The sequence below is a fragment of the Homo sapiens genome, chromosome 3 (assembly GCF_000001405.40).
Source record: "Homo sapiens chromosome 3, GRCh38.p14 Primary Assembly".
Classification (NCBI taxonomy): Eukaryota; Metazoa; Chordata; class Mammalia; order Primates; family Hominidae; genus Homo; species Homo sapiens.
In genome coordinates, this window is record NC_000003.12 from 71,713,084 (window position 1) to 71,734,219 (window position 21,136).

A 21,136-nucleotide genomic window follows, 5' to 3' on the forward strand; every position below is an offset into this window, starting at 1 on the left:
ACACACCAGTGTCAGTGACTAACATGTAAGTGCCGAATTCTTGCTAGTGTGCTGAGCCTCTGACCTCCGTTGAAGCACTGAATCCCTGCAATCCTATTTATGCAGCTGTCAATATTATTTATCACCATTACAGGTGAGCAGGCTGGTACTTAGAGAGGTTTGGGAACTTGCCCATAGCCACAAATATGTGATTTGAATACAGGTGACCCATTTGTGATTTCCTGCTCTTCATCCCTCACTGCTGAGCTGCCCATTCAAGCCATATACACACTTGCCTTTTTTAAGTGGAGTTTTACAGTTGATTCTCTTGGTATGTTTTCATCAAGTCCACCATTTTTGCTGAATCCCAATTTTTTTGTTTGTTTGTTTTTGGGAAAAGGTCTCACTCTGTTGCCCAGGCTGGAGTGCAGTGGCATAATCATAGCTCACTGTATTCTCGACCTCCTGGGCTCAAGCAATCCTTCTGCCTCAGCCTTCCAAGTAGCTGGGACTACAGGTGCATGTCACCACAGCCAGCTAATTTTTGTATTTTTTGTAGAGGGAGGGTCTTACTATGTTGCCCAGGCTGGTCTCAAACTCTTGGCCTTAAGTGATCCCACTGCTTTAGCCTCCCAAAGTACTGGTATTACAGGAGTGAGCCATCACCTCGAGGCCTGAACACCATTTTTAATACAAGATTGTATTCATATAATATTCTGAGAAGAAACAATATTAAAATAGTCTTTCCAATGGATAGGGTAGGGAAGATCTTCACAAAAACCAAAAGGGTTACACTCAACAAGAGCTCTATTTTAACAGTCTAACACCTGATGATACTGATGTATTGGGATTTTAAAGGAGATATGGGCTGGGCACAGTGGTTCACACCTGTAATCTCTGCACTCTGGGAGGCCGAGGCAGTTGGATCACCTGAGGTCAGGTGTTCGAGACCAGCCTGGCCAAAATGATGAAATCCAGGCTCTACTAAAAATACAAAAAAATAGCTGGACGTGGTGGTGTATGCCTGTAATCCCAGCTACTCAGGAGTCTGAGGCAGGAGAATCGTTTGAACCTGGGAGGCGGAGGTTGCAGTGAGCCGAGATTGCGCCACTGCACTCCAGCCTGGGCAACAAGAGCAAAACTCCATCTCAAAAAAAAGAAAGAAAGAAGGGAAGAAGGAAAGGAAGGAAGGAAGGAAGGAAGGAAGGAAAGAAGGAAGGAAGGAAGGAAGGAAGGAAGGAACGAAAGAAAGGAAAGGAAAGAAAGAAAGAAAGAGAAAAAGGAAGGACAAAAAGAAAGGAGATATGTCAGGCTTCATAGAAACTCAGTTTCCTAATTTCTTCATGGAGGAGGGTGATTCTGTGATCTTAAAGATTCTTTCCAGCTGATGGGCACCTTTCTGAATATTCAGGCTTCAAAGTAACAAAATAGTGATGTCGGAAGTACTGATGGTAGTAAATACTTGGCGGGCCAGAGGAAGGCATGGCGTCCTTTTGTGAGCCAAATGTGATTCCAACAGTCACTGAAAAACACCAATGTGCCCAAACCTCATGCCCGAACTTCATACTTGTTTACCAAGCAAAATTGGGCCGTATCCATAGAATCAATTTCAAAAGAGCAAATAACCTGAGATTTTTAAATGATCTGCCCTGTAAACAGGTCAGTCTGTACTGGACTTGCTGATTCAAAATTGAACTGCAGCTGTATCATCTACGGTTACTGTTTCTTAAAGTAGCAGTGCAAGCTGTTCATGGCAACACTGAAGCCTGGGCAGCCGGCAGCCACACCTCTCTTCCCTGTCACCTGAGTAGACATTTGTAGCAACTGAAGGTAAATGTCTGTAATGGATGTCAAAGAAGGAAACATTTTTACTGGTATCACACATACAGTATATTGTCTTAGCTTTAAAAATCTTTTCCTTTCATTCATGTTATAAACCTTCCTTCCCCAGCAGAACCCTAGTCCAAACCCTGTCTCCACAGTCCAGGGGTGCTCATCTGAGAGTGATGTTGCACCCCAGAAGAGACTTGGCAATATCTGAAGACATTTTTGGTTGTCATAACCGAGGAGGTGCTACTGGCATGTGGTGGGTAGAAGCCAACGGTGCTGCTGAACATCCTACAGTGCACGGGACAGCCCTCACAACAGAGAATTTGCCCTGGCCAGAATGTCCATGGTGCCCATGCAAAGAAACCCTCCTGGCAATGTTTAACAAATAGTCTCAGGGGCTTTAAAATTTATTTAATCAACAAAAATGTTTTAGCACACCTTCTGTGGCCACTGGGGATACAATGGTGATCATTCTAGAAAAAGGCCTTTTCCCATAGAGTTTATGTTTTAGAACCAGCATCCCTCCTCTCTCGGAATTCCCCAGGCTCCCAAAGACAAAGAAACAATGTTCATATCATTTTTTAATTCTCCCGGAAGGGAGGAGGTGGGAAAGAAAGCTGAGGGAGGAACATACATGCTGATAATGACCATTCCTAGTAGAAGATACAGGCAGAGCTGTGGAAAATCACAGAACCCAGGAATCAGGACCCTGGTTCGGAATTTTCTGAATCACATGCCGCCCTCCCACGGTATACAGCTGGAGCTGAGAACACAGCAATGGAACAATAAATGCCCCTGGATGGATCAGGTTAAAGAATTTCAATAGTTCCACCAGGAGTTTCCTCTTTAATAATATTAATGTAATAATGGCTCCCTTTTATTAACCATGTATTATATGAAAGGGTTTTGCACATATTATCTCTAATTCCTACAGCAATCCTGTCAGGCTGGTTTCATTATCCCCACTTCACAGATTAGGAAACTGAGGCTCAGTGAACTTGTTTTTAAGTAGCAGGTCTGGGTTCTTCTCCTGGTCTATCTGGCTCTGAGGCCCATGACCTTCCCCTTAAACTAGGCTGACTCCCAGTAATAACTGAGCAGTCATTGTCAGCATAGGTGTCCCATAGCACATCTTGTGTCATATCCCTCCGTGGGCCCACCTACTGTTTCTGCCTGTCAATCTTGCCTCCCCACCATATATCTAGCCACACTGCTGGCAAAGCACAGAGGTGGAGGTGCAGGAAAGCGCTAGATGCCACTAGAATCCCTGGCAAAAAAAATACCCCCAAATGTAATATAAATAACATGATTCCGGAAGAAGTGAAGTGCTTGAAAGCATTTTATCCTTTTTTTTTTTGGAGACGGAGTCTCGCTCTGTTGCCCAAGCTGGAGCGCAGTGGCGCAATCTCGACTCACTGCAAGCTCCGCCTCCCGGGTTCACGCCATTCTCCTGCCTCAGCCTCCCAAGTAGCTGGGACTACAAGCACCCGCCACCACGCCCAGCTAATTTTTTTGTATTTTTAGTAGAGACGGGGTTTCACCGTGTTAGCCAGGATGGTCTCGATCTCCTGACCTCGTGATCCACCTGCCTCAGCCTCCCAAAGTGCTGGGATTACAGGCATGAGCCACCGTGCCCGGCCCATTTTATCCTTTTTCTTATTCCAGAAATGCTGGGCCCCCAATAATTGAAAAGACCACATATCATGTTGTACATGCATACATGATCTCCTTTTATCCTGATTAAAACACCTTAGGTAAATAATAGTTGCAACCCCACTTTAAAGATAAGCAAACTAAATCTGAAGGTGGTAAGGTAACTTGCCCAAACATACACCATTGGTTAGTGGCAGATCTGGGACTTGAACCAAAGGTTACCTGACAACCATGCCCTTAGTCATTAGCCCAAACTAAACAGCTCCTGCATGACCAATATTCAGCCTGGCACCCTCATAAAAACACTGCACCAAGCATGGCCCCAGCTGTCCTGCAGCTTACAATCCTCCATTCAGACTTCCCAAATATGCCTTCCCCATTAAACCCCACTTTTAAAGATATAATTGCTGCAGCCTAAGCTCATTAAGAAAGTTCATGGAGATAGATACCTCTGTAAATACCTAAGGACACTATCTTAATCATTACCTGGCTATCTTTTATCAGACCACAGCACCACTTACAATCCATATGTATGCCTAGAGATGCTTCTTACAAAGTAAAGAAGCTGAAACGGTTTCTTCGAACCCTGCTGCATCTTTGCCACTCAAAGTGCAACCAGGCAATGGGTAGCATCACCCGGGAGCTTGTTGGAGCGGCAATCTCCAGGTCCTCATGAGACCTGCTAAATCCTATGTGATTTGCATGTACATTAGAGTTTGAGACATGCTGGCCTATGTCATCTAAATCAAGTTATCGTAAGAAATGCTAACTTGGAAAGTAAAATCTAATGAACTACAGCATCACAAGACAAATGTAAAAATCACTATTGTCACAAGCGCATTTGTCATCACCCAAAGACATCAAGAAGAAGTTATCCTTATATGTGAAGGACAGTTCTGTAAAAGCACTTAAATATGGGTTTTCAGGCAAGGGCTCTCTTCTTTTCTCAGCAAATTCCGAGGCAGGGAGTCCTTGGCTTAATCATCTCCCATGAAACTGGCTCTTGGTTTCCTTATTTGTAAAATTAAGAGGTAGAGCCAGATAACCTCTTAAGTCCTGTCCAGCTCCGATACTTTAGGATGAGAGAATTGTGTCCCATCTGTGTTCATGCTCACAGGAAAGCCATGTGCAGTGGGGTTAGGGACACCAGGGCTTGGAGTCATACAGTCCTAATTCAAATCCTGTTTCTGTTCTATATTGCTGTGTGACCTCAGGCAAGTTACTTCTCTGGGCCTCAATTTTCTCATCTGTAAAATGTTGCTGATATATCCTACTTCAATAATGTGAGAATTTTATGGATAATTATGTACAGTATCCAGTCCAGTGCTTAACACGAATGAGTAAATTGTAGTTCATATTAACAAGTTAAAGTGGGAAAAGATGTCTGAAACAGTATGTGGTACAGTATATCCAATTACTCGATACACATGCCCAATACACAGGCACACAATAAATGTTTGCTGAAAAAACCAATGATGACAATATTCCATCCTATGTGAGAGATAATTTTGTTTCAGCCAAGAGAACCCACCTTAAAGGGGAAGACTTTAAAGGCAGAGTTATATCTTCTAAATGCCAGTCTTCCTGTTGGATTTACAACATCGGGCTCAGCTGTCAGAGGGAAAATTTGTACAGCCCAGTTACATGATTAAGTATGCCCCTCGTATGCCATTCACTCCATTAAAGATGATTTCATTTTAATCACTGTTAGATAGACCTGTGGCTTGCGGCTACACCAGCTTCCTGTCTGATCAAGAGTCGCATACAAAAATGGCCCAAGCCCTATTACTGACAGTTAATAATGCATCTACTGAAAATATATACATCATTTAAAGGTTTTATTTCTGCATGTTTATTTGATTTTGATTTCTCCCTGCCTTCCTATGGTCATTCCTAGTCTATCTTACAGCTCTTTAACAGTAGCAACTGGGGCTCCTTTCATCTTGAGATATATTAATCCCTTCAGTACATGGAGGATGGGTAGAGAAGTACAGCAGTGTTAAGAGTTTACGACAAAATTAAGAAAGACCAAGTTGTGAACCATTCCCATGACAGATCACTAAATTGTTGCCATGTGCCCCGGGTTTGGAAGTAAGTTTAAATGGTCTCTGTAATATTAAAAGCAGAAATGTTTTTGAGCAGCTAGTGCCAGGTAAGGACCAGAAACTTTTCTGAGTGAGGATGTGAAAGGCCCTCATACTTTTCTGCAAGAAGCAACCACTGACCTGAGGTAGAAAGGCTGGAAGTACTCTATGTCAGGGCCTTGCCCTGCCAGATGTTCTCAGAGGACCTTTACCCCTCACAAAAAATAAAATCCTGGGCCATTTAGAGTTTACAGATTCAGGAGGGCAAGTGTGGGAAAAAGACAAGAAAAGTTCAGATGCCAGCCACTCTGTCCCTGTCAACCATGGCCCTTCCATCCAGTCTCCTCCCCAACCTAGTCCCAGTAGGCAACTCAATGAACAAGGATGACTTTGGGGTCCCTTTTGTCAAGCTCAGCCCTACCTTCCCATATCAGATTTGTTATTATGGAACACACCATTGGAATGTATTTTGAAGTACTGCACCCTTTAGGGTGGGTCCCTGTAGAACTCAACACTTCTCAGAATTCTTCATTGATACTACTGAAACATTCAGCATGTGAGATATCCCTCCTGCGAGGACATGGCCCAAGGTGTAGTCATGTTTGCAATCTTATAACCTGGAATGGTGACTGGTAAATAATATACTCAATTGATATGATCAATACCTAGAGCAGTAACTCTCAAGTTTGGATTTCTATGGCATTTGTTACAAATCTACCTTTCACCACAGAGGTCTGAATGAGTAGGTCTGGGGCAGGGTGGGGAGCCTGTATTGTAACAAGCACAGCCAGGTGATTCTGATGGGCGGATGAGGGAATACACTTTGAGAAACACAGGCTTGGTGGAGCTAAACCATGATTGGGTAGGGTTGGTGACAGCTGTATATGATGGCTCACCTTTCTGATGAAAAAAAAAAAAAAAGTCTGCAAATACTCAGCACCTACTGTGTACCAGGCACTGTAATGTGCACTCTCTGGAGTCACAGACATAAGGAAGTTAGATCTATCCAAGGAAAGGGCCAGTAGTCTGACGTGACCAGGAAGAGTGGACAGACTGAGTGGTAATGTGGAGTTGAAGAGTGGTAGGTGATAAGGTTAAAGAAGAGGTGGGTTTGGACAGGGCGCCTCTAATCCCAGCACTTTGGGAGGCTGAGGTGGGAGAATTGCTCGAGCCCAGGAGTTTGAGACCGGCCTGGGCAACACAGTCAGACCCTGTCTCTACAAAAAATACAAAAATTAGCTGGGTGTAGTAGCACATGCCTGTTGTCCCAGCTACTTGGGAGGCTGAGGTGGAGGGATTGCTTGAGCCCAGGAGGTAGAAGCTATAATGAGTCATGACTGCGCCACTGCACTCCAGCCTGGGTAACAGAGAATGCCTGTCTCAAAATATATATATATATTCATATCTTATATTTTAAGAGGTGGGTTCCACTTAAAAAAGCAATATATGAATGTATACCATAATCTCTAAGTCCATAGTTTTCCTTAAAAAAAAAAAGTAGGGAATCTTTTATTGAAACTAAAGGGGTCTTTTTATATATGTATGTACGTACATATGTAAGTATTTGTAGAGGCGGGTCTCATTCTGTCAACTAGGCTGGAGTGTATTGGTGTGATCATAGTTCACCGCATCCTCAAATTCAGGCTCAAGCAAACATCTAGGCTCAAGGGATCCTCCAGCCTCAGCCTCCCAAGTAGCTGGGACTACAGGCTCTTGCCACCATGCCCGGCTAATTTTTTTTTTAAAATAGAGACGAGGTATTGCTATGTTGCCTAGGCTGGTCTCAAACTCCTGGCCTCAAGAGATCCTCCCTCCTCAGCCTCCTAAAGTACTGTGATTGCACGGATGAACCACCACATCCAGCCTAAGGGGTCCCATTTCTAAAAACAAACCACCACACCACCACCTCTCAAAGCTGCTCTGGTAGACGTAGTGGTGGAGATCCAGAATCCCTACTGTCTGGATCACACAACTTCATAAAAGAGGTCCTCTTAGGTGGTAAGAGACATAAAGTAAAAATCTGCTGCTATGGCAGAGGAACAGGGCAAAGGAGTTTTGGAATGGTAAGATAAGGCGTATGTTTAGAAGGCTAACCATGCCAGTCCAGGTGGGGGATGCCTGGAAAGGGGCAGAGCTTGGGAGCAGGCAGGAAGCTAAGAGCCGGCTAGGAGGTAACTGGAACTAGACATAACCAGAACCTGCAGAGAGAGGGCATGGAGAGAGGAAAATGGCTTAGACTTGGATCAAGTTTTCCCAGGGGAATTAACAGTATGAAATATAGAACTGGATGGAGGAGGGTGCTTGAGAGAAAGAAGATTCAAGGATCAAATGGAAATTCCAATTCTGAAAAACTGGAAGTATGGCAGGATGGTTAACCAACACGTGGTCAGCAGAAAAGAAAGAGAATAGAGAGAAATGAGCTCAGTCACTGAAGAATCAGTACTGCATTTAAAGTGCCTGTGGATTTCCTTAGCTTTCAGACATGTGTCCAGAACTCCGAAGAGAGCTGAAGGCTGGAGATGGAGACTTGCAAATGATTAGCAGAGTAATGGAGCCACCACAGGAGAAGGTGAAGTCACTGCGGGTAGAATTCAACAACACCCTGTTCAGGGTATTCAGTGCGGACTGACTTGTGCTAGGCTCCAATCCAGGAGCTAAGGACAAGGCATCCGGGACGAGAACTCTGCCCTCATGAGGTTTACATCCTAGTGGGAGAAGACAAGCCAATGGTGGTAATGCTATGGAGAAAATAAAACAGGGTCAGGGGCTCGGGGTGTGTGTGTCAGGATGCTTGCGCCATTTCATAACAGTGGTCAGGCAACATAAGATGGTTTGGCTGTGTCTCCACCCAAAATCTCATCTTGAATTGTGATCTCCATAATCCCCATATATGTCAAGGGCAGGACCAGGTGAAGGTAACCGGATCATGGGGGTGGCTTCCCCCATGCTGTTTTCGTAATAGTGAGTGAGTCTCATGAGATCTGATGATTTTATAAGTGTCTGGCATTTACCCTGCTTGCACTCACTTGGTACTGCTGCCCTGTGAAGAAGGTGCCTGCTTCTCCTTTGGCTTCTACCATGATTGTAAGTTTCCTGAGGCCTCCACAGCAACGTGGAACTGTGAGTCAAACCTCTTTCCTTTATAAGTTACCCAGTCTTGGGTAATTCTTCGTAGCAGTGTGAGAACAGACTAATATGGAAGGTCTGAGAAGGTGACATGTGAGCAGAGGCTTGAAGGACAGGAAAGAGCAGGGCAAGCACTGATGGAGGTGAGAGCACTCCAAGCAGTAGGGGGTGTCAGTGGCTAAGGTCCCTGCTTGGGATGAAGGCGAAAGAGCAAGGGGACCGATGAGCAGAAAGAAGGGCATGGCAGAAGGGAGAGTGACAAGGGAGAAAAGGGTCCTGGGTGGGGCAGGAAGAGCTGCAAAGCTTTATGGTTCCTGTAAGCCCTTTGGCTTTTCCTCGGGGGGGCGGGGGTGGGAGGTGGTTACAGATGACTCTAAGATTTCTGGGCTGGGCAACTGGAAGGATAGACTTGCTCTTAACTGCTCTTATCTGAGATACAGATAGAAGGAAACAAGTTTGGGAAGGCAGTTGAGGAGGTAGTTCAGTATATGTTGAGTCTGGTTGTGTATTACATTGGACATCCATGGAGACAAAGGGGAAGGAGCACTGGATCTAAGAGTGTAAGGTTTTGAGAGTCACCAGAATTCAGGTGGACCTGAAAGCACTGTGACTGGATGAGATCCCTGGTGTAAATGGCACAAAGAAGAGGCCTGAGGCCTGAGTCTTGTGGGAAAAAACTCAGAGGCGAGCGGGTCACCATAAGATCAAAAGGAAGCAGTTAGAGACACATAACCCAGAGTGGCTTCCAAGAATCAAGACAGGATAGTTTTAAATGTCCAGAAAAGGGGAGAAAAACTCTTCAGCCTGTACCCCCAATCTAAAATTACCTTCCTCAAATGCCGAAATCCTTAACCATACAGTCTAATTTTTTAACCAAATAAGGACTTATTGGAGTTGACTATTAAAAATACTAATAACTTTACAGAGGAGTTCTCCAACTCATCCAGTGAGGGGAATGAATTTAGGTTTCTGGCTTCCCAACACAGAATTCAGACAAGCTGCTCCAGAGACTGTTTGTTGGGGTGTGGGTATGGGGAGGGGTTGGTAGCTGGGGAGCATGGTAATGACAGTGTTAGTAGTTTATGCTTAGGAAGCTCCTTCTACCAGCTGGCACCTGTTAGGTGTTGTACATCATGTCTCTCATTTAATCCTCAGAACTGCCCTGTGAGACATAGCCTATGACTATCCCATTTTACAATGAAAGTGAGGCTTGGGGCAGCTAGATGGCTTGCTCATCAGCACACAGTAGGCTGGAAAGTAGGACAGGCCGGGAGGTAGGATGCCAAAGGGGAGTTTTAAGTAGCAAGAGGCCTTTGCATGCTATGGAACTCAAAAACCGATGTCATCTTGCCAGGCAGACATTGGCTATGCTGCAGGTAAGGCTGCCTTGGAGGGCTCTCCTGAGAACCTCACCAGTCTCTAGAATGTTGTTTACCTGGGGAGAAAAGTTACTAATGAACTTCTAGATCATAATGTGTTCATAACCTCAAGGGGGAGAGGGGCACCCTATATAAAGGTAATGGATTCCCACAGAAGGAGAAAAAGTTCAATAAAAATTATGAGTTGTTTGATCGGGCAAAATGAATTCATATGTACAATATTGGAACTCATTATAATTTCTAAATTAATACAGCCATTTCTATTAAAGATCTGGACACTGTGGCAATAATGTATTTCATTTGATGATCGACCTTTAGAGAACAAAAATGTGTAAATCAATAGTATAGATATAGTTTTTGTCTTCATTAAAGTTACTATAATCTTAAGCTACTAGTCTTAAAAGATTGTGTTATCTGTAGTATTGACATTTTAGACCAGTCCTTAAAAGTGTTGTTCCTACATGTAAACTAATTTTAGACCTGTTTAAAAAGAAACTCTCTTGATACTGTTTCCACCAGTCAGCAGTATTCACAATTTAGACCACAGGTCCAGGTTTAACACCTTGAAAACAGATACCAGGTAACAATAGCACAGTTGCAGCACACCTATGAAAACAGACACGATTTCATTCTGCTAAGGTCTGCCAAAAGCACGCTTGTTATGACAGTATAATGCTCTCTTAGCATCCCATAATGAAAGTGAAAATGTTTTGAAAGAACGAAACTCACTCCATCTCCCCCACCCCCAACTTTTTTGGGTCTCCGGCAAAGAAAATGGCAGCAAGTGACAATTCTTATAGACGGGTGCTATAAGAACCCAAAAGGAAAAAAGAAATGAGCTTGTCTTAACCAAAAAAAAAATGAATATCACTTTTTTAAAACAAAATCTTGCAGTCATTTTATGCAAAGCCTTTTAAAACCAGATTTGTGTGTACCAAGCAAACTTCTCAGAACACTGTCACACATTTCTTCCTAACACTTAGCCAGAATAGACACGGTTTCATCAAAATTTCCAAATGCTCTTGGGACAACCTTGAGGTGTCATCATTGGGCACCCACTGCAGGGCAGACACTAAGAAGGGGCTTTGCATTCATCCATCTATTCATTCATAACAATTTCTGGTGTTCTTACTAGGGACCAGGCACAGTTCTAGGTCCAAAATGTCCAAAAACAAAAATCCACTGCTCTTTTATCCTTAACTGAGGGGAGGTGTTGAGGAGCTGGGGAGACAGACTGAAAGTAAACAAATTCATATATAATAAAATCCAGCTGCATTAAGCATTAGGAAGAAAAAGAAGGCAGGGCAGGAGAATACAAAACGAGGGAGCAAGGTTTCTATTTTAGATACGGTAGTCAGGGGGTCTTTCTGAAAAGATGGCACCTGGGTTGTCCCTTGAGAAAGCCATAATTCACCCCCTTCCTGACAAGGTCAGCTGCTGCTCATTATTGAATCTCCAGCGCATAGCAGGTGTGTGGCTCCACTGTAGGTGTTCAGGAAATACCTGCCCAGTGGATGAGGAAGAACTGGAAGAGGAGTCCACGGCAGCAGCGGCCGGACACGGGGTGGGAGCGCCCGCCGTGCAATAATCATTGCACCACCGCACACCTCCCAAGGGATGGGCAACTTTTCCGAGCGCTGTCACAGCTGAGGTCGTGTCCTGAGCTCCCAGGCGCCCCGCGGGGTAAGCAGGACAGCCCTCTCCCTGCAGCAGGGACGCGGCCACCCCCAGCTCGCCTACCCTCTCCCACGGCCCTGCCAGCACGCCGCGTTCCGATCGGAAGGGAACAAGGGGTAGAAAGTGTTGCCGAAACTTTTCGGGCTGCGCTGTCCTCCCCCGGCCCGGAGGCGAGGACGCCGAACAGCCGCCCGGCGCGGCCCGAAGCTGGCTTCCGACCCGGCGGGGCGAGTCCCGGGGTGCGCAGGCGGACGCGCGGAGGGGCCGAGGTCTGTGCCACAGCGGAGCGGGGCCGGGGCGAGGGGCCGCGCCGAGACAAAGCGGCGGTGGCGGCAGGACCCGGGTCGGGGCCGTGCGCGGCGGGCCCCGCGCCCCCTCACCTGTCGAGCCAGAAGGTCCAGGACGAGTGCAGCGGGACCCCGCCCGGCTCAGGCTGCAGCGCCGACAGCTGCTGCAGGCCGAGCGGCGGCTCGGGGGCGGCGGCAGCGGCGGCGGCGCGGGACCCCGGCGGCTCCCGGGCCCCGGCGGGGGGCGCGGCGGCCGGGGGCAGCGCCATTTTCTCCGCCCCGCCTGCAAGGCCGGCGGACGCGCGGACCGCGGGGCGAGCGCGGCTGAGTCACCCCCGGCCCCCGCCCCGCCCCGCCCCGCGCGCCCCGCCCCGCCCCGGGCTAGCCGCCCGCCGCCCGCCGCCCGCCGCCCGCCGCCTTCAGGGCCTGGGAGCCGCGCGGAGGGGCCGTGGGAGGCACGGCCGGGCCGGGGCCGCCGAACAAAGACAGACCCACGGAGGGATGGGGGGCCGATCCCGCTCAGGCGCGGGCCCAGCGTGGGAGACTGACGGCCTGGCCTGGAGTGGCGGCCGGGGACGGGCTAGAGGGCCCACGGGGGTGAGAGGGACCGGGGAACGGTCTGCGGGCTGGCTCTGCAGCCATGCAAAAGGGCAGCGGGATGGAGCGGCAGGCTAGGGACAGATGGAGGGATGGATGGGACAGGGGATGGAGCCCCAGACCCACGTGGTGCGAGGGAAGGAGGGATGGACAGACATACCAGCAGTCAGAAGGATGGAGTGAAGGCTGGCAGATGGCTGGAGGAGAGAAGGAGGGATGGAGGGCAGATGGAAGCACAGTTGGGTGTGACAGATAAATGGAGAGGGGAACCGATGGCCAAATGGATAAAGAGACTCCAGTGCCCGCGAGTACAGAACAAAGGGCGAGAAAGAAGAACGAACAAGAGAACCACCGACTGGGGCATGAGGTTGGAGCAGGTGGGCTTTGCATTCCTCTTGGTGAGAGCATACTTCCTAACTCCGCTGATTTGAAGGGGCCAGAGCCCCCATCCCAACCTCTGGAGCTACCATGTGACCACAGTGAAGGCCTCAAGCCTGGCTTAACGTGTGGCTAACTTCAGAGAACATTTCCCAAAATCAGCCAAAGTATCCAGATCTGCCCTAAAGCACCGGCGAGTCGGGAGGAGGAAAGCGGGCACCTGTGAACACAGAGCGCTCTGCTTCCTGTACCTCTGAGCACCCAGGAAGTCCCTTAGGCGGTGAGATTCCTGAGCCCAAAGTAGGAGGGGCCCTCCTAACACAGCATCTCCCCAGGTCTCTGTCACTTTCTTTTTCAAAAGAAAAGCAAAGGCATGAGGCCTGTGAACACACATGTCACAACCAGCATGGACATCCTCTTTACACTTGAATTTCTAGATAGTTCCTCTCTGGCTTTGAACAGTGAAGGGCGTGGGATGCCATCTCCTCATTGACCTTCTACCTGGCCTAGCATGTGTTCTGTTCATGCCTTGAGCATTCGCTGGGATGGAAGAGCTACAAAACAAGATGAGTTCAGGGGCATCAACAGCATCATAGCAGACTGTCATGAATCCCAGAGTAGATGCCCTCCCTAAAAGGTAATCAAGGTCACATAAAGTGACAATAATAAAAACAAGACCGCTGCTTTAAACTTAACTTCTATACAACATACAATGCTGGAAGCAATGACAGATTTTATAAAATCTGTCCAACACTAAAACAGGGGAGGGTGCTTTTGGTTAGATGCATTTATCTTGTTGCTTAATATCTCCTTTCATTTTTCCAAGAAGCGTGGTATATGGCATTGTTTAAACTGCTCTGAGCACTTTACCCGTAATAACTCATTTAATCCTTACAATAAGCCAATGAGGAAGATACTATTAACCCATTTTACAGATGAGGAACAGAGATAAGATTAAGATAACCCCAAGGTCACAGAGCTAGTAAGTGGGACAGCTGGGATTTGAACATAGGTATTCAGACTCCAGAGTCTAGACTTTCAACTGCCAGACTCTCCTACCTCTCTACACAGAACACTAACAAGTCCACAACGTAAAAACAAGCTGTGAATAGTAGGTCTCCCTCCCTCCCAAGACTATCAATCTTCATTCCCAGAGGAAACCACTGGCAACAGTTTCCTTCCAGAAAAATGCAAGTATGCACATGCAAGCATATATCTAGATTCATAAGTTATAAATCTATATCTTTTTTATAACCAAAATGGAAGCATTTAATACCAATGCTGTACCTTCTTATTTCACTTAACATTATATCCTTGAAGATTTTTCCATATCAAAACATATAGATCTACTTTATCTTAAGGGCTGCAAAGTAATTCATTGTAAAGAGGTAATATAATTTAATTCACTAGCCTCCAACATTTATGTGGTTTCTAGACATTTTCTTATATAAATAATGCTACCATAAGTATTTTTATATTTATGGCTTTCTTCATCTACACAAGCTAATCTCAGAATAAGTTTGGAGAAGAATTGTTGGCTGCATTTAAAAATTTGATACATATTGCCAAATTGCTTTGCAAAGTGGTTACATGAATTTATATATAGCTGATATATAAATAATGGTTGATTCTGAAAATTTATATTTACGAAGTGACACATATCTGTATAAAATTCCAAGGCATGGGTAGAAAGGAAGTTTTGCTTTCTAATGATTAAAGCTAGTCAAACTGTCAAGTTTAGCTCCTTCCTTATGTCCTTTAACAATATCCTCAGCAAAAAAGGGCTAGTCAAGAATTTTTATCTGCAGTTTCTGTAAAAGGATTGTGTACCACATGAAAAAATTCCCTCCAGAATTTAGAACTAGGAACAGTCTGGCAGTTTTTCTTTACTGAATAGCAATTATATACCTTTCTCTCTTTTTGCTTTGGCTTCCAGGCTGCTCATAATTACATTTGGTGCTCAATCACAGCACCAATATTAGCCAATGAAGAAGCATCACTATTTTTATATTTATTCCTATTTCTATTTTAAAGACCTAATAGCATATATGCACCTTACACTGAACCCCTCAAATTTATTTTGGAAGTAGGTGGTATATATGAATAGATAAAATTTAAATGACCTTAAGATTAATAAAAGAGATTATACAAAATGGCTAAGGAGGGAACAATGGTCACAACTTTCATTCCCTTCCTGTTTGAAATATGTAAGAGACTTAATTATTTTTATTGCTCTTCAGAATCATTCTTAGAAGATAATAAATTGGGGAAATTTCCCTCATCTGGGAACTGGATGGCAGGAACTAGAATTTCAAGGTAGAAAGGGGATTCAGCGATCATCTAAGCAAACCCATCACTTTACAAATGAGGAAACTGAGGCCCAGAGAGGTGAGGTGACTTACCCGAGGCCACAGCTCTAGGAAATGACAGAGGCGGGACTAGAACGTGGGTAGCTTGAGGTCCGGACCAACGTGCTGTCCCACTGCATGACACGCAACACAGACGACTTGGGGTGGCAGAAGAGAGGAAGAGAAGGTGACCCCACAGCCCCTAGCAACAAAAACAACAAGAAGGACTTGAGGCACTCATAAATAATTAAGCAATTAGCTGCAGCAGCTACTCCCCTCCCCTCCAGCATCCAGTCACCAAGGCAACTTGGGCAGGGTGCCTGCTGGTTGCCTAGTAACAGTGTGGTCTGCTCCCCTGACAAGCTCCCTAGGCATCAAAGGATTTGAGAGCCGGGAAGAACCTTAGACAGGGATCACTTTTCCAACACCTTCATTTTCCAAATGAGAAAAGAAAGGCCCAGAGAAGCTGGGTAACCTGCCCAAGGTCACACAGCTATTCAGACACACAGCCAGGCTCCATTCCCAGTTGCTTTCCATTGCACTAGGGCTGCCTCAGGGAGGCTGCAGATGGAGGAGAGGGGGAAATCGCTCTACAGTTCCTAGAAGAATGAGAAAGTCAGAGCGAGCAAGCAGGCAAGAAAGAGACAGAAACCTGAGCACTCATATGCAATTAGCAGGAGCTGGTAATCCCATCAGCCCAACTTTCATCATCACCATGGCAACATGGGTGAGGTGGGTGCTGGTTGCCTAGCAACAAGTGGTCCTCTCTCTTCTACTCACATCTGCTCCCTGGGAGTCACAGGAACAGCAGAATGATGACGTTGGAAGGGAAGGCAGGGGTCCTAACTCAGTCTCCTCCTTTACCCAATGAGGAACCTGAGGTTCAGGGACACTGGAAGTCACACAGCCACAGAGTTAGCTAGTGACATTCCCTCCATTGATGGCCTCTGTCTCAACACTTTGGGAAGGGAGCCTTCCACTCAATAAAGGCAGAACATGGGAGGGAATTGGCCAGTGGCTCCCTTGAAAGGAGGGAACACATGGTCTCTAATGTCAGAAAACCTGGGTCAAAGCTAGTTCTCCCTAAACCTGGCAAGCTTCCTACCCTCTCTGTGCCTCAGTCTCCACATATGAGGACTGGACATGCTAATGGTCTCTATCTCTCGAGTTATCGTTAGGATTAAATGAGAAAATGTATATGTCAAGTCCCTGGTATATAGTAAAGATACAGTAAATGTCAGGCGTTCATTCATTCCACACTCAATAAATATTTGTTGCATATCTGCTATGCAAATGCCACTGTTCTAAGCTCTCCAGGTTCATTAGCAATACAGACAAAAGAAATTCCTCTCTCTGGGAGCCTACATTCCAATAGAATGTGTGTGTGTGTGTGTGTGTGTGTGTGTGTGTGTGTGTGTATTTAAGTGTTTGTTGAATGGGTGGCGGAACTCATTGGCAATATGCTGTTTATGTTGCTGGGCTCCTTCTCTAACACTGAGAAGTTTCCTGTTTACAGGGTGTGATACTATAAATATGCAGGCCTGTCTTTTATGTGGGAACTCCGTTTTCCTTTAACAGCAAAAGAAAAAGGAAGGCAATGGCCACTAGATGGCAGTCTTCAGTGCCGGTAGGTACAGGGCACAGGAAGGGACTGGCCTGGGGCAGAGGCCCTCACTGAAGCTTCCAGCAAAGGTGTGTTGCAGCTGGTCAGTCCTAGAGCAATGGCTTGGAAAGGTAGGGGAGACTTGACACTATTCTGGGATACTCACGGGTCAGGGGAGGCTGCGGTGTGGTTCAAGAGTGATTGCTTCAGAGTGAGACTGATCCCTGCTCTAACCAAGATCCTGCCATAGGTAAACCCTGTGACTCTGGGAAGTTATTAACCTTGCTGAGCTCCAGATTCCTCATCTAGGGTACAGATAACAAGAGCACTCTCAAGGGACTGCTCTGAGCCATGTATAAGAAAACATTGTCTATAAAGCACCTTGCAAGTTGCACATAGAAAAAGCTCAACTAGTGTTATTTATCTAGATTCCAAAAGACCTCTGAAGATCTTTTAGGGGCCAGGCCAGGCCTCTCTTGTTCAGAGCTGCTAATGGAAGAGAAAGGGGCAAAGGAAATGGCATGTGTTAAGCATCTGCAGTGAGGACACTGAGGTCCATGTGGTCATTGAGCCTGGAAAATGTGGCCTTGAGGTTTGGTTGTCCCACTCTCCACATCCATCCACCTATCAGACATTGAGTTCTCGTCCTGATCTGCCTGCAATCCGTGTGTTGGTCTTCCTTCTTTTTTTCTTTTTCTCTATTATTATTGTTGTTGTTTTTTTTGAGACAGAGTCTTGCTCTGTTGCCCAGGCTGGAGTGGAGTGGCACAATCTTGGCTCATGCAGCCTCGGCCTCCCAGGCTCAAGCAATCCTCCCATCTCAGCTTCCCCAGTAGCTACAAGCACATGCCACCATGCCCTGCTAATTTTTAAATTTTTTGTAGAGACAGGGTTTCACCATGTTGTTCAGGCTGGTCTTGAACTCCTGGCCTCAAGTGATCCTCCCACAACAGCCTTCCAAAATGCTGGAATTACAGACGTGAGCCACAGTGCCTAGCCTGCTCTTCCTTCTTTATTCCCACTGGTGCCAGCCACTCCCAGTCCTCACTCCTGAGTCAGCCAAGCATGGCCTGGAGGACTGCAACAGCCTCCTAACGGGTCTCCCTGCTTCTAACACCCGACCCTCTCATCTCCTGCCAGACAGCAGCCTGAACAACAGTCCTCAAACACTGGTTTGCTTCTGCCTGCTCTCAGAAAAAAACCCAGACTCTTTCTGGTGGCCAACAGTACTTGGCATCTTCTGGATCCTTCCTGCCTTTCCAAATCCATGGCTGATCTCTCCCCCTGCCTCAAAGCTTCTCTGTGGCCACAGGGCACCTGCATATGCTGTTCTTTCTCCTGAACTGCTAGTCCCTCCGCTTGCATGGCTGACTCCTTCTCCTGCCTTAGGCCTCCACTCTAAAGCAGGTCTTCTCCCCTTCCTCATTATTTTTTTCAGTGCACGTGTCAGCTGCACACATCAACTGCCGATCTTCCGAAACAGAATATCCAGTCCAAGTGGGGAGGGCCAGGCCTCTCTTGTCCACCTTTGTCCACCCAGTGCCTAGTGCAGGGCCTGTCCATGGCTGGCACACCAGCAACATTTATTAAGGAAACAAACTGGGTATACAGCAGATATTGGTTGAAAGGAAGAGTCTGTGACTTTGTCTCCTAATTTCTTGTCTTTCTCCTCTGCCAGTGTATCTTTCTCATGGACGGCATGTTGGTCTTCCTAAAAAGCACTTTTGTCCTATTACTTCTTTGTTCAAAAGCCCTAAAGCGCTGCCTGTTTCTCACAGGCTGAGGTCTGAAATCTGGAATCTAGCCTTTGAAATTGTCCACACCTTGACCCCCTTTTTCAAATGCATTTGCGAGTATATTTCCAAATATATTTAGAGAGATATAATTATACACCTATATTTACATATACTTGGAATATATATGTTAAATCTATATATTTGGAGAAACAGCTATACATGGAAATATATATATTCCAAACAGATTTGTCCCTATTTCTTGGTGCATTTTCAGCTCTGCCACAACATGAGCTCCCGAAGACAGGCCTGGGCCCACCCCCTCCACCACTGTCTTCTGGGTTCCTAGCACGGTGTCTGGCACATGGGAGACCCAGCTTTACTGAATCAATGATGGGCTTACTCCCCACTTGGTAAACACACCATATGTACTCATATCTCCACACTTTTGCCTGAGACCTTTCTTCTCTCCTCTGACCATCTAAATTGTCTAACCATCCTTCAAGGGCCAGGCCAAGTTCCCTCACAGGGAATCAGTCACCAAACACACCCCAGATAGGGACAAGAGATTCACAGAGTTCTAGAGACACAGCTGGGCAGTGCCCAAACTACTTTCCTGATTTAAAAAAAAATCTCTTCCCTGATTTAAAAAAAAAAAGTCCCAACGATGTCAGTATATAGGTTTTGTGGCCAGTCTAAGAGCTCTGATTAAAGACCTTTGTTGTGGCCACACAGAATTCCACTGATTGGAGGAGTAATGATTTGTATAACCAACTCCTCCTGTTAGGCACACAGATTATTACCAGTGATTGTGGCTATCATGTGCAACCCTGTAATAAACACTCTGCCAATCACTGGCTTCTTATCAAAGAGTAGTTCTGAACATTCCTGGCCAGCCAATCAATCAGAGATACAGAGATAGCTTACATCAGAAACTGGACTGAAGGGGAGAGCCGGCAGGCCTCAAATTGGTCTTCAGCAATTTTTAAAAGAAAGGAAACGATGAGCAGTAGGGAGGCAATGTGATCAGAGGAAAGTCCAAAAACATGTGCTTGAGCCAATGTCTAACAGCCATGTGCTTTGGGACAAATCGGTGAACCTCTGAGTCTCCTTTTTTCTCAATTAAAAAATGAGTGTGCCAATAACACCTGCTTTGCAGTGCTGCCTGAAGGATCAAATCAGGAACATTTGGTGAGGCTCTACATAAAAGTCAAAAAAAGGTCACCCAAGTGTTGATTCTCGTTTCCTTATCACAGTTCCTGGAGGGGATAACCCTACATCTTCTCTGCTTTTTGAATACGAGTGTCCTCCTTTGTATGCTCGTTGGGGATCTAGAGACAGGTGGAGTGAACAACTGTCCCAATTTGCCTAGGACTGTTCCAATTTGAGCACTGAAAGTTCTGAGTCCCAGAAAACCCTTTGGTCCTGGGAAAACCCGAACGGTAGATACACAAGGAGCGGGTCCTGGAGCACTGCCTGTTCCAGAGGATTTCAGCAACCATCTTGGAGGCCTCTAATCCCCACTATGAGCTGATAACTGCTCGCCTAGTGGGATAAATCAACAGCAAGCAAGTCATTTGTTTACATCTAAGAAGCTGCTTTAAGGATAAGATTTTGTTTTGGGGATTTCATTTACGGTTCATAGATCATTTAGGGGAACATTTTGTAAGCCAGTTCTCTGAGGAAGTGTATTGTGCTTTCCGAAGCTTTATTTTAAGCTGAAATAATCATATTTATGACATAAGAAATCTTGATACAGAAAATATAAGCTGATTTGGCAAAATATTAGGAGGTTATGAGTCAGGCTGCAAAAAGACCTCCTGTACCATCTTTCCCTGTACCATATTTAACCCAAGCTTCCTGAGGGGTGGGGAGCTCACCTTTGAGGTCCTCAGAGACTATTATAAAGTACTGCTCATGTACTGGGAAGTCAATAAATATCTGAATAATGAATCCTTCTGTGATTTAAAACCATTCATTAAAGTGTAGATTGAAATACTTTATAAGTCATTTACTTCTTAAGAGCTAAGTACACTAAAGTTTGAGAAGCCATTATCAATTGATGAACAATTAGTAAAGGAAAATAAAGCAATTCTTGAAAGGAAGCTGCATTATTTGTTTTCTAAAAAAAATCATAATTACATGACATTTTTAGAACTCTAACTACTGTGCAAAATGCACCATTCAGAAACAGAAGGACACTTGCAGTGTTTAGGCCAATGAGACCCCTTCAGTTACTGAATCTCTTTTGTTTTACCATCAGCAGGAATTGCATACTCACAATACAGAAAGATCCTGTTAATTTTTCACTCTTTTCCTGTTCATTCTTATTAGTTACATATTATCTACATAATGGCAGGTTGCACCTTATGGTATTTGCTTTAAATTTTCTTAGTGTTTGTGGTAAGACAGTATCTTATTCCCAGAGGCTAAAAAGATGCACATATTGATCATACTAGGTC

The 21,136-nt window shown here is 45.6% G+C and overlaps 1 protein-coding gene across 11 annotated transcripts in view, besides 3 other annotated features; it reads right to left on the bottom strand.

Moving 5' to 3' along the window:
- Positions 1-21,136, bottom strand: part of EIF4E3 (eukaryotic translation initiation factor 4E family member 3) — a 95,411-nt gene that overhangs the window by 53,721 nt on the left and 20,554 nt on the right. For 5 of the 11 annotated variants that reach the window (NM_173359.5, NM_001134649.3, XM_047448063.1 and 2 more), the window contains exon 2: positions 15,393-15,540. Coding sequence is in view for 4 of the 11 variants with exons in the window: in XM_047448061.1 (XP_047304017.1) it covers positions 12,109-12,284 (176 nt within the window). In the remaining 7 variants the exon portion in view is untranslated. The other 6 variants (XM_047448061.1, XM_047448060.1, XM_011533651.4 and 3 more) reach the window with 3 other exon arrangements.
- Positions 11,724-11,843: a silencer, noted in NCBI's record as "silent region_14521". NCBI's record gives its function as "represses an Ori minimal core promoter by ATAC-STARR-seq in GM12878 lymphoblastoid cells {active_cell/tissue: GM12878}" and the evidence as "EXISTENCE:reporter gene assay evidence [ECO:0000049][PMID:35858748]".
- Positions 11,974-12,043: a silencer, noted in NCBI's record as "silent region_14522". NCBI's record gives its function as "represses an Ori minimal core promoter by ATAC-STARR-seq in GM12878 lymphoblastoid cells {active_cell/tissue: GM12878}" and the evidence as "EXISTENCE:reporter gene assay evidence [ECO:0000049][PMID:35858748]".
- Positions 16,815-17,109: an enhancer, noted in NCBI's record as "tiled region #3624; HepG2 Activating DNase matched - State 12:CtcfO, and K562 Activating DNase unmatched - State 12:CtcfO". NCBI's record gives its function as "activates a minimal TATA promoter and a strong SV40 promoter by Sharpr-MPRA in HepG2 and K562 cells {active_cell/tissue: HepG2 | K562}" and the evidence as "EXISTENCE:reporter gene assay evidence [ECO:0000049][PMID:27701403]".